This window comes from Homo sapiens, chromosome 15 (assembly GCF_000001405.40).
Source record: "Homo sapiens chromosome 15, GRCh38.p14 Primary Assembly".
NCBI lineage: Eukaryota > Metazoa > Chordata > Mammalia > Primates > Hominidae > Homo > Homo sapiens.
In genome coordinates this window covers 43,167,001-43,179,305 of record NC_000015.10, presented here as the reverse complement: position 1 = coordinate 43,179,305, position 12,305 = coordinate 43,167,001, and the positions used below count along the sequence as shown (strand labels likewise).

The 12,305-nt window shown below is 42.8% G+C and overlaps 1 protein-coding gene across 41 annotated transcripts in view, besides 2 other annotated features; it reads right to left on the bottom strand.

Annotated features, from left to right (window-relative positions):
• TMEM62 (transmembrane protein 62) overlaps positions 1–12,305 on the bottom strand; it is a 52,030-nt gene that overhangs the window by 5,839 nt on the left and 33,886 nt on the right. For 21 of the 41 annotated variants that reach the window (NR_144541.1, NR_144543.2, NR_144542.2 and 18 more), the window contains one exon: positions 9,629–9,713. Coding sequence is in view for 37 of the 41 variants with exons in the window: in NM_001347024.1 (NP_001333953.1) it covers positions 9,629–9,713 (85 nt within the window). In the remaining 4 variants the exon portion in view is untranslated. Of the gene's footprint in view, positions 1–594; positions 700–9,628; positions 9,714–12,305 lie in introns of all 41 variants that reach the window. The other 20 variants (NM_001347004.1, NM_001347009.1, NM_001347008.1 and 17 more) reach the window with 1 other exon arrangement.
• Positions 3,288–3,788: an enhancer, noted in NCBI's record as "H3K4me1 hESC enhancer chr15:43467716-43468216 (GRCh37/hg19 assembly coordinates)". NCBI's record gives its function as "activates a minimal SCP1, AML or CMV promoter by ChIP-STARR-seq in naive and primed H9 embryonic stem cells {active_cell/tissue: H9 hESC(naive and primed)}" and the evidence as "EXISTENCE:reporter gene assay evidence [ECO:0000049][PMID:30033119]".
• Positions 11,395–12,091: an enhancer, noted in NCBI's record as "H3K27ac-H3K4me1 hESC enhancer chr15:43459413-43460109 (GRCh37/hg19 assembly coordinates)". NCBI's record gives its function as "activates a minimal SCP1, AML or CMV promoter by ChIP-STARR-seq in naive H9 embryonic stem cells {active_cell/tissue: H9 hESC(naive)}" and the evidence as "EXISTENCE:reporter gene assay evidence [ECO:0000049][PMID:30033119]".

Below are 12,305 nucleotides of genomic sequence, written 5' to 3'. Positions count from 1 at the left end.
AGTAAATATTCAATGAACTACATACTAAGCAAAATAGGCAAAATACCAATGGATAGATATATATACTTTTTTTTTAGATGGCGTCTTGCTGTGTTGCCCAGGCTGGATTTGACCTCCTGGACTCAAGCAGTACTCTCGCCTCAGCCCCCAAGTAGCTGGAACTACAGGCATGAGCCACCGTACCCGCCTACCAGTGAATATTTTAATGAGTTAATAGATAATAAACACAGAAGATAGGTATAAATTCTGATAAAGGTAATGATGGAAGTAAAACCTGTGATGAGATATAGACTAAAACTTTAAGATAGACAAAGAAGGTTGCTCTGAGGAGGTGCTATTTAAGCTTCTATTAGGTTTCTACACAAATACTAATTCTGTAGCAGTCTTCTCAGCACCCTTAAGTTAACTTGGTGTTAACTAAATGTCCTTTAAACATGTTAGGCACGAGCTTTATTTTCCAAAACCATGTCCCAGAAAATGATTTATGAAGAATCCATGAGCCATTTGTTATACCCTCAAGAGTCTAATTCTATTGTCAAAATTGTTAATATATTCTTTGGCAAAATTCCCCATAATCTGTACTAATTTACTTACCCAGCACTGTATACAGGGTCAACAACAACACAGAATAGTAGAAGATGTTTATTTTGCTCAAGACATGAAGAGAAAATGAGGTCAGATTTATAAACCCTGAAGGTTCTAAAAAACATAAAGTTGAAAAACCCAGTGAACACATGCAAAGTTCAGTTTCTTTATGACATTTTCTAGAAGATTTTCATGGGCTATCTACCATATATTCAGCAAATCCTTTGTTAGATGGTAACTATACAGATGACACCACTTTAAATTCAGAATTTGGCAGGAATCCTGGTGAGACAGTTCACTTAGAATTGCAAAAGGCAGAGAGTTCGAAGAAATGGTGTAGTTGTGAGATATTTTATATATATCATAAGATACATAATTGTTATATATATCACAATATATCGAACTCATATATATATGCACATATATGTACATATACATATATATATAATAACTGAAAGCAATGGACACACCTACCAGAGCACCATACTATTTTATCTTTATATAGGTTTGAAAGATAGTGGTTTGTTCAAAGGATGATCAAGTCTCTGTTTTCTATGGAATTTAGTGTCCAAATGTACAAACTTCAAAAAGGTATATCAAAATACTTCAAAAGTAAATTAAAAGAAATATCAAAATATCTTCATTCTAATCATAAATATGAGTATCTGTCCAAATATGGTCCTTTCCTATACATTATACAGTTCTTTTTTTTTAATTTTTATTATTATACTTTAAGTTTTAGGGTACATGTGCACAATGTGCAGGTTAGTTACATATGTATACATGTGCCATGCTGGTGTGCTGCACCCATTAACTCGTCATTTAGCATTAGGTATATCTCCTAATGCTATCCCTCCCCCTGACCCCACCCCACAACAGTCCCCAGAGTGTGATGTTCCCCTTCCTGTGTCCATGTGTTCTCATTGTTCAATTCCCACCGATGAGTGAGAACATACGGTGTTTGGTTTTTTGTCCTTGCGATAGTTTACTGAGAATGATGATTTCCAATTTCATCCATGTCCCTACAAAGGACATGAACTCATTTTTTATGGCTGCATAGTATTCCATGGTGTATATGTGCCACATTTTCTTAATCCAGTCTATCGTTGTTGGACATTTGGGTTGGTTCCAAGTCTTTGCTATTCTGAATAGTGCCACAATAAACATACATGTGCATGTGTCTTTATAGCAGCATGATTTATAGTCTTTTGGGTATATACCCAGTAATGGGATGGCTGGGTCAAATGGTATTTCTAGTTCTAGATCCCTGAAGAATCACCACACCAACTTCCACAATGGTTGAACTAGTTTACAGTCCCACCAACAGTGTAAAAGTGTTCCTATTTCTCCACATCCTCTCCAGCACCTGTTGCTTCCTGACTTTTTAATGATTGCCATTCTAACTGGTGTGAGATGGTATCTCATTGTGGTTTTGATTTCCATTTCTCTGATGGCCAGTGACGGTGAGTATTTTTTCATGTGTTTTTTGGCTGCATAAGTGTCTTCTTTTCACATAGCAGATTTGGTCTTTTCACATAGTCCCATATTTCTTGGAGGCTTTGCTCGTTTCTTTTTATTCTTTTTTCTCTAAACTTCCCTTCTCGCTTCATTTCATTCATTTCATCTTCCATCGCTGATACCCTTTCTTCCAGTTGATCGCATCGGCTCCTGAGGCTTCTACATTCTTCACGTAGTTCTCGAGCCTTGGCTTTCAGCTCCATCAGCTCCTTTAAGCACTTCTCTGTATTGGTTATTCTAGTTACACATTTGTCTAAATTTTTTTCAAAGTTTTTAACTTCTTTGCCTTTGGTTTGAATTTCCTCCTGTAGCTCGGAGTAGTTTGATCGTCTGAAGCCTTCTTCTCTCAACTTGTCAAAGTCATTCTCCGTCCAGCTTTGTTCCATTGCTGGTGAGGAACTGTGTTCCTTTGGAGGAGGAGAGGCGCTCTGCTTTTTAGAGTTTTCCAGTTTTTCTGCTCTGTTTTTTTCCCCATCTTTGTGGTTTTATCTACTTTTGGTCTTTGATGATGGTGATGTACAGATGGGTTTTTGGTGTGGATGTCCTTTCTGTTTGTTAGTTTTCCTTCTAACAGACAGGACCCTCAGCTGCAGGTCTGTTGGAGTTTGCTAGAGGTCCACTCCAGACCCTGTTTGCCTGGGTATCATCAGTGGTGGCTGCAGAACAGCGGATTTTCGTGAACCGCGAATGCTGCTGTCTGATCGTTCCTCTGGAACTTTTGTCTCAGAGGAGTACCCGGCCGTGTGAGATGTCAGTCTGCCCCTACTGGGGGTGCCTCCCAGTTGGGCTGCTCGGGGGTCAGGGGTCAGGGACCCACTTGAGGAGGCAGTCTGCCCATTCTCAGATCTCCAGCTGCGTGCTGGGAGAACCACTGCTCTCTTCAAAGCTGTCAGACAGGGACATTTAAGTCTTCAGAGGTGACTGCTGTCTTTTTGTTTGTCTGTGCCCTGCCCCCAGAGGTGGAGCCTACAGAGGCAGGCAGGCCTCCTTGAGCTGTGGTGGGCTCCACCCAGTTCGAGCTTCCCGGCTGCTTTGTTTACCTAAGCAAGCCTGGGCAATGGCGGGCGCCCCTCCCCCAGCCTCACTGCTGCCTTGCAGTTTGATCTCAGACCGCTGTGCTAGCAATCAGCGAGACTCCGTGGGTGTAGGACCCTCCAAGCCAGGTGCGGGATATAATCTGCTGGTGCGCTGTTTTTTAAGCCCATCAGAAAAGCGCAGTATTAGGGTGGGAGTGACCCAATTGTCCAGGTGCCCTCTGTTACCCCTTTCTTTGACTAGGAAAGGGAACTCCCCGACCCCTTGCGCTTCCCGAGTGAGGCAATGCCTCGCCCTGCTTCGGCTCACGCACGGTGCGCTGGACCCACTGTCCTGCGCCCACTGTCTGGCACTCCCTAGTGAGATGAACCTGGTACCTCAGATGGAAATGCAGAAATCACCCGTCTTCTGTGTCACTCACGCTGGGAGGTGTAGACCGGAGCTGTTCCTGTTCGGCCATCTTGGCTGCCAGCGCTTTCCCTATTTCTACAGTTCTTAACGCACAGCTAACCTCTTACTCCAACTGAAAGGCTTCCCTAAACTTTCCAAATTAACGTGCTTTTAAAATACAGTGCCAAAAAGCCCAAGTGTAAGGGCTTGACTCAGAGAAGCTCCATTCTGCGGCCACAGTCTACAGTACCACAGATCCTCAGCCCCAACCAGCCATGTCACCCATGCATGTGGCTGGCCATAAACCAGTCAGCTGAGGACTATGAAAGGAAGTTCAGTATACACTGAGCAACACTACTGGTAAAAAATATTTAAAGGACTAGTCTCAATGAAAGACAGTCTGATGTAAGTTAAATAAGTCATGTCTTTGCTAAAAGACCAGCACATTCATTTTATACTTATAACCTTGCTCAGCCTAACACTTCATTTTATGCAAAGCCTGATAATGCATGACCTTTCCTACTTTGTGTTACTCTCTCAGCTTCTTTTTTGTTCTAGTCTGTACTTCTCAAAGTATTAGCCTACATATTCAGATAGAATAATAATTATTTATTATTTTAAAAAATCCTTTAGCCTTAGAGGCAGCTATTCTTTAAATTTTAAGTAATTATTCTCCATTTTGGCTGCACATTAGAATAACCTAGGGGAACTTTTAGAAAATACTCATGCTTGTATCTCACCCTCCAGAGATTCTGATTTAATTTGCCTGGGGTAGAGGGAGATCTTAGGCAGCAACCCAGTGATTCTAAGCAGTCAGGATTGAGAAATACTGCTTTAGACAAAGCCGTGCTTCTCAGTCTTGACTGCACATTGGAATCATCCAGGGAGCTTTAAAAGATACTGATGCTTAGGTCCCACCCTAGAGATTCTGATGTAATTGGTATAGAATGCTGTTATAGCTATTGAAATTTCAGAAGTTCCCCCAGCAGTTTCTAAGGTACGACCAAAGTGGAAAAGTCTTGTTTAGAGGAAAGAACTGACCTGGGGTCAGAAGCCTTGGGTTTGGAGTCTCTCCTCTATCTCTTATTAGCTATGAAACCTTGGACAATTTACATAACCTCCCAAAACCTTTGTTTTCTAATCTTTAAAATGGGGTCAATAGCACCTACCTCACATGATTGTTTTAAGGATTAAGTGAAACAATGTAGGTTAAAATATGTTTCAAATTTAAATAACTATATAAAAATATTGAGAGCCCCCATATAAGAGGCTGGGGACTTCAAATATTTATTTACTTACATTATGTTCAGGAAAATACACATGTATAATAATGCTTCTTGAACTTTTTCGTAGAATTTTTAAAATAAATATAAGAAGAAAAACATTCAGTAGGATGTGTACTGTACCTATTCAGTTAATCATGTTACTGTTTAATCATTACTACAATACTCCCCTTCTCTATCATCAGTCCTTAATCCCAGGGATTTCATCCAAATTAAGAAGGGATCAGGAAAATTTGATTCAACAAGTATTTATTGTCTATTATACACAAATTTGGTGCTGGGGGCTGTGGGAAACAGAAGAGAATTAGGAAGCAAGAGTTCCTGCATTGAAGACAGGCACAGTGGCTCAAGCCTGTAATCCCAGCACTTTGCGAGTCTGAGGTAGGCGGATCCACCTGAGGTCAGGAGTTTGAGACCAGCCTGGCCAACATGGTGAAACCCATCTCTACTAAAAAAAAAATACAAAAATTACCTGGGTGTGGTGGTGCATGTCTGTAGTCCCAGCTACTTGGGAGGCTGAGGCAAGAGAATTGCTTGAGAACCCATGTGGCAGAGATTGCAGTGAGCTGAGATCATACCACTGCACTCCAGCTTGGGGTTCACAGCGAGACTGTCTAAAAAAAAAAAAAAAAAAAAAAAGTTCCTGCATTGAGGAACTTATCTGGTTAAGGAGAAAATGTATATACATTCGAAGTGGTTATATAAAGCAAAGTGGCTGTCTAATTAAGTATAGAATTAATTGTGAGAAAGGACTATAGGGATTCAGATAAGCAAGAGCTCATTATGACCTGGAATGGCTGGAGAAAACAGTATGATAAAGGAGGTCTTCAGGTAAGCCTTACAGGAGGCTAAGATTTAGATAAGTTTAGAAAAATAACTTAAAGTAGGGATAATACTATGAGAAAAATACAGAAGCAGAAATGAGCATGGCACGTATAGGGAACAGTGAAAAAGTATCTAGGCTAAAATACAGGTAACTGGTTGAAGACATGGCTAGTTAAATAAGACTAGACTGTGGAAGATTTTTAGTGTCTTGCAGAGATGTCTGACCTTTATTCAGTGTGTTCTGGAAAGCCACTTAAGGCTTTTGCATACAGAAGTGATCTATGGATGAGATGCCATAAGAAGGATAATTGGCTAATAATGAAGAGGATGAATTAGATAGAGAGACTGGATATAAGAGCAGCAGTTAGGAGTCTATTCAGGAATCCAGAGAGGTGATACTGACATGGCATTGGTGACCTCTCAAAAGGAAAAGGAACATTTGAAGAAATAATTAATGGGTTGTTTTGTTTTTTTGAGATGGAGTCTCACTATTTTGCCCAGGCTGGAGTGCAGTGGCGCAGTCTTGGCTCACTGCAACCTCAGCCTCCTGAGTAGCTGGGATTACAGGTGCATGCCACCACACCCGGCTATTTTTTGTATTTTTAGTAGAGACAAGGTTTCACCATGTTGGCCACGGTGCTCTAGAACTCCTGACCTCAAGTGATCCATCCACCTTGGCCTCCCAAAGTACTGGGATTACAGGCATGAGCCACTGCACCTGGCCTGAATTAATGAGTTTTAATATGTTGCCATTAGGAGTGAAGACTGATGCTTACTGAAAAATGACTAGATTTTTAAGGTAAAAACTGTAGTAAGGTCTTCCTGTAAGGTCTTTATTTTTGATAGTCTATATGTTTTTATTTTTTTAATATCAGTATATGTATATATTTTTCTATCAAAATATAGTGATTTCAAATGCCTGAAAGTTCATGTGACTTAAGTAAATCTTTCATAAAATACCTGATTTTAAATTTGTTGATAAAAACAGAAATGTCTTCAGAATTGTCAGCATACATTTTTTGCCTGGGTTTACTGATCAGATAGTTTTGCATTTCTCTGTGCTAGATGTTTTAAGCAGGATTTGACCAAAAGGTCACAAAACTATATATCCAGCCTAAAATCAGAATGATCTTTGTGTAACTCTTTGATAAGTAAAACTAATTTAATATAGTTGATTTAATGAAGATAGCTGTTTTCAGTTTTTGGCAAAATATTTATATAATTAGCTTTAAGATTTCTACTTAGGTGAACACCCGAAATTCACATGCTGTAAAACTGATTAACAGAAAGATACCTTGACATAATGACTAACTCTATCTAATATCTTAGTTTTCATAAGTAATCTATGTGTAGTTAAAAAATAAGTTAGATGAATGTAAATGGGATAAATTTATAAATGAACTTTTCATGTGATTTTAAATCCTAAAGTTACATTATATTAAATTAAGTAATAGATACTCATGAAATGTCTGAGTCATTTCTAAGTAAGATAAAATACTGAAACATAAATTGCTAAACATTAGTATAAGTTGGTTCTTGGTTTCTTAAATTGCATAGAAAGACAAAACATACTTGGGTCTATTAGTAAATAGTAAACTCCACATTCAAAAATTGTTCCATAAAAAATTTTTTTTAGAGATTATAAACTATATATTCATGAGATGTTAATATATAACAGTTCAAAATTACTTACTTCCAGAGTAACCTAAAGCTTAAGGTTACTAAAAATTAAGTTTTTATTAAGGCTGGGCACAGTGGCTCATGCCTGTAATCCCAGCACTTTGGGAGGCTGAGGCGGGTGGATCATGATGTTAGGAGATTGAGACCAAGCTGGCTAACATGGTGAAACCCTGTCTCTACTAAAAATGCAAAAAATTAGCCAGGCGTGGTGGTGGGCGCCTGTAGTCCCATCTACTTGGGAGGCTGAGGCAGGAGAATGGCATGAACCCAGGAGGCAGAGCTTGCAGTGAGCTGAGATTGCGCCACTGCACTCCAGCCTGGGGGACAGAGCGAAATTCCAGGTCACACACACACAAAAAAAAAAAAAAAAAAAAAGTTTTTATTAATATGAAACTGTTTTTATATGAGAAAGAATTTTATGTGGTCTCAATATAAAGGAATAAAAAAATTTTAAGTAATTTTTTTGTCTTATGGTAAAATAATTAGTTATTCCAATATAAAAGTGGGGAAAATACAGGACAAAGACTAGGAGTTTAGGAGAATAATGGAAGGTCTAAGCAAGTTGTGGAAGGTTTATGAAGGATGGGTCCTGTAATGGAAGTTTTATATCATCAGGATGGTTGGAATTTGAAGGGAACTTTTTTTTTTTTTTTAAGGACAGAGTCTCGCTCTGTTGCCCAAGCTGGAGTGCAGTGACATGATCTCGGCTCACTGCAACCTCTGCCTCCCAAGTTCAAGCAATTCTCATGCCTCAGCCTCCCGAGTAGCTAGGACTACAGGTGTGTGCCACCATGCCTGGCTAATTTTTGTATTTTTAGTGGAGATGAGGTTTCACCATGTCGGCCAGGCTGGTCTTGAACTCCTGATCTCAGGTGATCTGCCCGTCTCGGCCTCCCACAATGCTGAGATTACAGGCGTGAGCCACTGTGCCCAACCATAAGAGGTTTTGACTTAATTCTAAAATCTGTTTCTTTAAAATTTAATTTTCAAGCATCTTCTGAACTGCAGCTTTAGAGTTTATAGGCCAGTGTTTTCCTCCGATATAACTTGATTCTGTACTCTTGGCTTTTCTTGATGTTTCTGAATTGCCCATATAACCAGGAAATTTCCCATGCTTTTTCTAAGAGCGCTGTATTCCCCTGCTCAAGGTACTAGTTTTCTTGTTTATGTCCCTCTATAATATAGTGTGTACATATAACCTTGGATGCATGCTCTTCCTATGTCTGATTATATTTAAGTATCTTTCCATCAGGTTTCACTTCCAGGTTATCTAAACAGGCTTCCCATAAGGAGGAGCAATCACACTTCAGGAAGGTTTTTTTCTTTACTTTTTTGGGAACTGACCTAAGAAACAAAGATTTTACATATTATCAAGATAATTTCCTATGTTTCATATTATCCTTATTAGTTTTTTTTTAATTTCTTAGGAAAACTGAGCTTTGAAAGGTTTTTGTTTACAGCCACAGAACTTTCTGCATTGTTTATGAAGTCTTTTAATTGTCTCTCTGTTTAAGTGAGTGACTATTACTTCACAATGACATCTATTCCTATTCTGACCAAGTGTTTTAAACCTTTTGACATCTTTGGCATGCCTCCCAAGGATCAAGTTATAAATTAAATCTTTTTTGACCTTGAACTAATTTTGGGATATCTCTTGGCCAAGGGGACCCCAAAGAAACCTTAAAAATTGAGTTCTCAGCCACGATGGAAAGGGAGGTCAGACACACCTTGTCATACTCCCTCCCTTTTAGAGTTTGGGCACAACAACAGACCATCATTAATGTTAAAATAGAGATCATAAGACTGACAAAACAGACTCTGTCACAATAAGATACCAAATTATAAACAAGATATAATGCCTGCAGGACATCAATCTTCCTAAACAGGTCATTTTTCACCCAGTATATTGTGGCTGACCTAGCATCCTTATCTTAACGTAAACATTCCTTTCTGCTGACAAGTTTTAGACAGAGCCTCAGTCCTTTAACCAATTGCAAATTAAAGAATCTCTGAATCCCCGTAAAACCTGTAAGCCCCCACTTCAAGATATCCCAACTTTTGGGGCCGAAGCAATGCATACCTTCCATGTATTGCTTTATGTCTTTTCCTATAACCCCTGCCTCCATAAAATGTATAAATCCCAACTGTAATCCAACTGCCTCAGGACCATTTACTCAAGGCTTCTTGAGTTTGTGTTTTCCCTGGGCCATGGTCATTCATATTGGCTTAGAATAAACCTCTTTAAAATATTTTACGGAGTTTGGTTTTTTCCATGAACAAGGCTTATAGGAATAAAAGGAACCATAACTAACCTTTAAGCTCTGGGTATCCTCGATATCTAAAAATAATGAGAATGGTGAGCTGGCTCAGCACAATCAGCACAAAAAGGACCCGGGCCTGCAGGGAAATAGATGTTAACGTGAAATAGATACATGGGTACACTTTCAGTTAAGATTTTTAAAGTAGCCTTATTAACAAAAATGGAAATGGCATCTGTGATACTGTGATATAAGAAATACATATTTTGGTCTTTGTCCCCACTGGTCAGAGCTCCTAAAATCCTTGTAATTTTCTAAGTGATAACAAGGATAGGAGCATATTGTTATAACATTTGGATTTTGTCTCTGGCTCCTAAAACAGCTCTAGAGTGATAAAGTAAAAGGAATACCTATTGTTATTCATAACAAGCCCCTTTTGGAGGAGGTAAAGCAAGATGGCCAAATAGAACCTTCCAGCAATCATCCACCCCTTTCCCCTCAGAACACCAAATTGAACAACTATCCCCACAAGAAAGCACTTTCATAAGAACCAAAAATCAGATGAGTGATCACAGTACCTGGTTTTAACATCATATCAAGGAAAGAGGCACTAAAAAGCGTAGACAACACAGTACTTCATTGCCTACACCACCCTTCCCCCATTCTGTGGCAGAGATAATCTGTGCACTTGTGGGAGAGAGCAAAATGACTGTGAGACTTTGCGTTGGAACTCAGTGCTGTCACAGGGGAACACAACACAGGGCAGAATTCTGCCAGCACCCACAGAGGGAGCATTTAAGCTGGCCCTTGCCAGAGGGCAATCCTCTGCCCCAGTGGTAGGAACCTGAGTTCCAGCTAGCTCCAGCACCAGCTGACTAAACAAGTGCCCTAGGGTCCTGAATAAACTTGAAAGGCAGTCAAGCCACAAGGACTGCAGTCCTTGGGCAAATCTGGGTACTATGTTGGGCTCAGAGCCAGTGGAAATGGAGTGCACAAGACCCAGTGAGACACCAGTTGTGGTGGCCAGGGGAGTACTTGTGTCACCCATCCCCCAACTCTCCAGGCAGTGCAGCTCAAAGAGAGACTCCTTCCTCTTGTGGAAACAAGAGAGAAAAGTAAAGAGGACTTTGTTTTGCCACCTGGGTACCAGCTCAGCCACAGTAAAAATAAAGCACCAAGCAGATTCCTGAAGCCTCTGAGCCCAGGCCCTCACTCCTGGATGGCATTTCTAGACTCAGCCTGGGCCAGAAGAAAACCTGCTGTGTTGAAGAGAAAGACCATGTCCTGGCAAGATTCACCATCTGCTGACTAAAGAGCCCCTGGGCCTTGAATAAACATCAGCAGTAGCCAAGCAGTAGTCACCACAGAACTTGGACAAGACCCAGTACTATGGTGAATTCAGGTGTGACCCAGAACGGTACAAACTGTGGTCACCTCTCCCACATATCCAGGCAGGCCAGCAAAGAGAGAGGCTCCTTCTGCTTGGGGAAAAGTGAGGAAAGAAAACAAAAGACCCCTCTCCCTCTCCCTCTCCCTCTCCCTCTCCCTCTCCGTCTCCGTCTCCCTCTCCCTCTCCCTCTCCCTCTCTCTCCCCACGGTCTCCCTCTCCCTCTCTTTCCACAGTCTCCCTCTGATGCCGAGCCGAAGCTGGACTGTACCGCTGCCATCTCGGCTCACTGCAACCTCCCGGCCTGAGTCTCCTGCCTCAGCCTGCCGAGTGCCTGCGATTGCAGGCGTGCGCCGCCACGCCTGACTGGTTTTCGTATTTTTTTGGTGGAGACGGGGTTTCGCTGTGTTGGCCGGGCTGGTCTCCAGCTCCTAACCATGAGTGATCCGCCAGCCTCGGCCTCCCGAGGTGCCGGGATTGCAGACGGAGTCTCGTTCACTCAGTGCTCAATGGTGCCCAGGCTGGAGTGCAGTGGCGTGATCTCGGCTCGCTACAACCTCGACCTCCCAGCAGCCTGCCTTGGCCTCCCAAAGTGCCGAGATTGCAGCCTCTACCCGGCCGCCACCCCGTCTGGGAAGTGAGGAGCGTCTCTGCCTGGCCGCCCATCGTCTGGGATGTGAGGAGCCCCTCTGCCTGGCTGCCCAGTCTGGAAAGTGAGGAGCGTCTCTGCCTGGCCGCCATCACATCTAGAAAGTGAGGAGCGCCTCTTCCCGGCCGCCATCCCATCTAGGAAGTGAGGAGCGTCTCTGCCCGGCTGCCCATCGTCTGAGATGTGGGGAGCGCCTCTGCCCTGCCGCCCCGTCCGGGATGTGAGGAGCGTCTCTGCCGGGCCGCCCCGTCTGAGAAGTGAGGAGACCCTCTGCCTGGCAACCGCCCCGTCTGAGAAGTGAGGTGCCCCTCAGCCCAGCAGCCGCCCCGTCTGAGAAGTGAGGAGCCCCTCCGCCCGGCAGCCACCCCGTCTGGGAAGTGAGGAGCGTCTCCGCCCGGCAGCCACCCCGTCCGGGAGGGAGGTGGGGGGGTCAGCCCCCCGCTCGGCCAGCCGCCCCATCCGGGAGGGAGGTGGGGGGTCAGCCCCCCGCCCGGCCAGCCGACCCGTCCGGGAGGGAGGTGGGGGGGTCAGCCCCCCGCCTGGCCAGCCGCCCAGTCCGGGAGGTGAGGGGCGCCTCTGCCCAGCCGCCCCTACTGGGAAGTGAGGAGCCCCTCTGCCCGGCCACCACCCCGTCTGGGAGGTGTACCCAACAGCTCATTGAGAACGGGCCATGATGACAATGGCGGTTTTGTGGA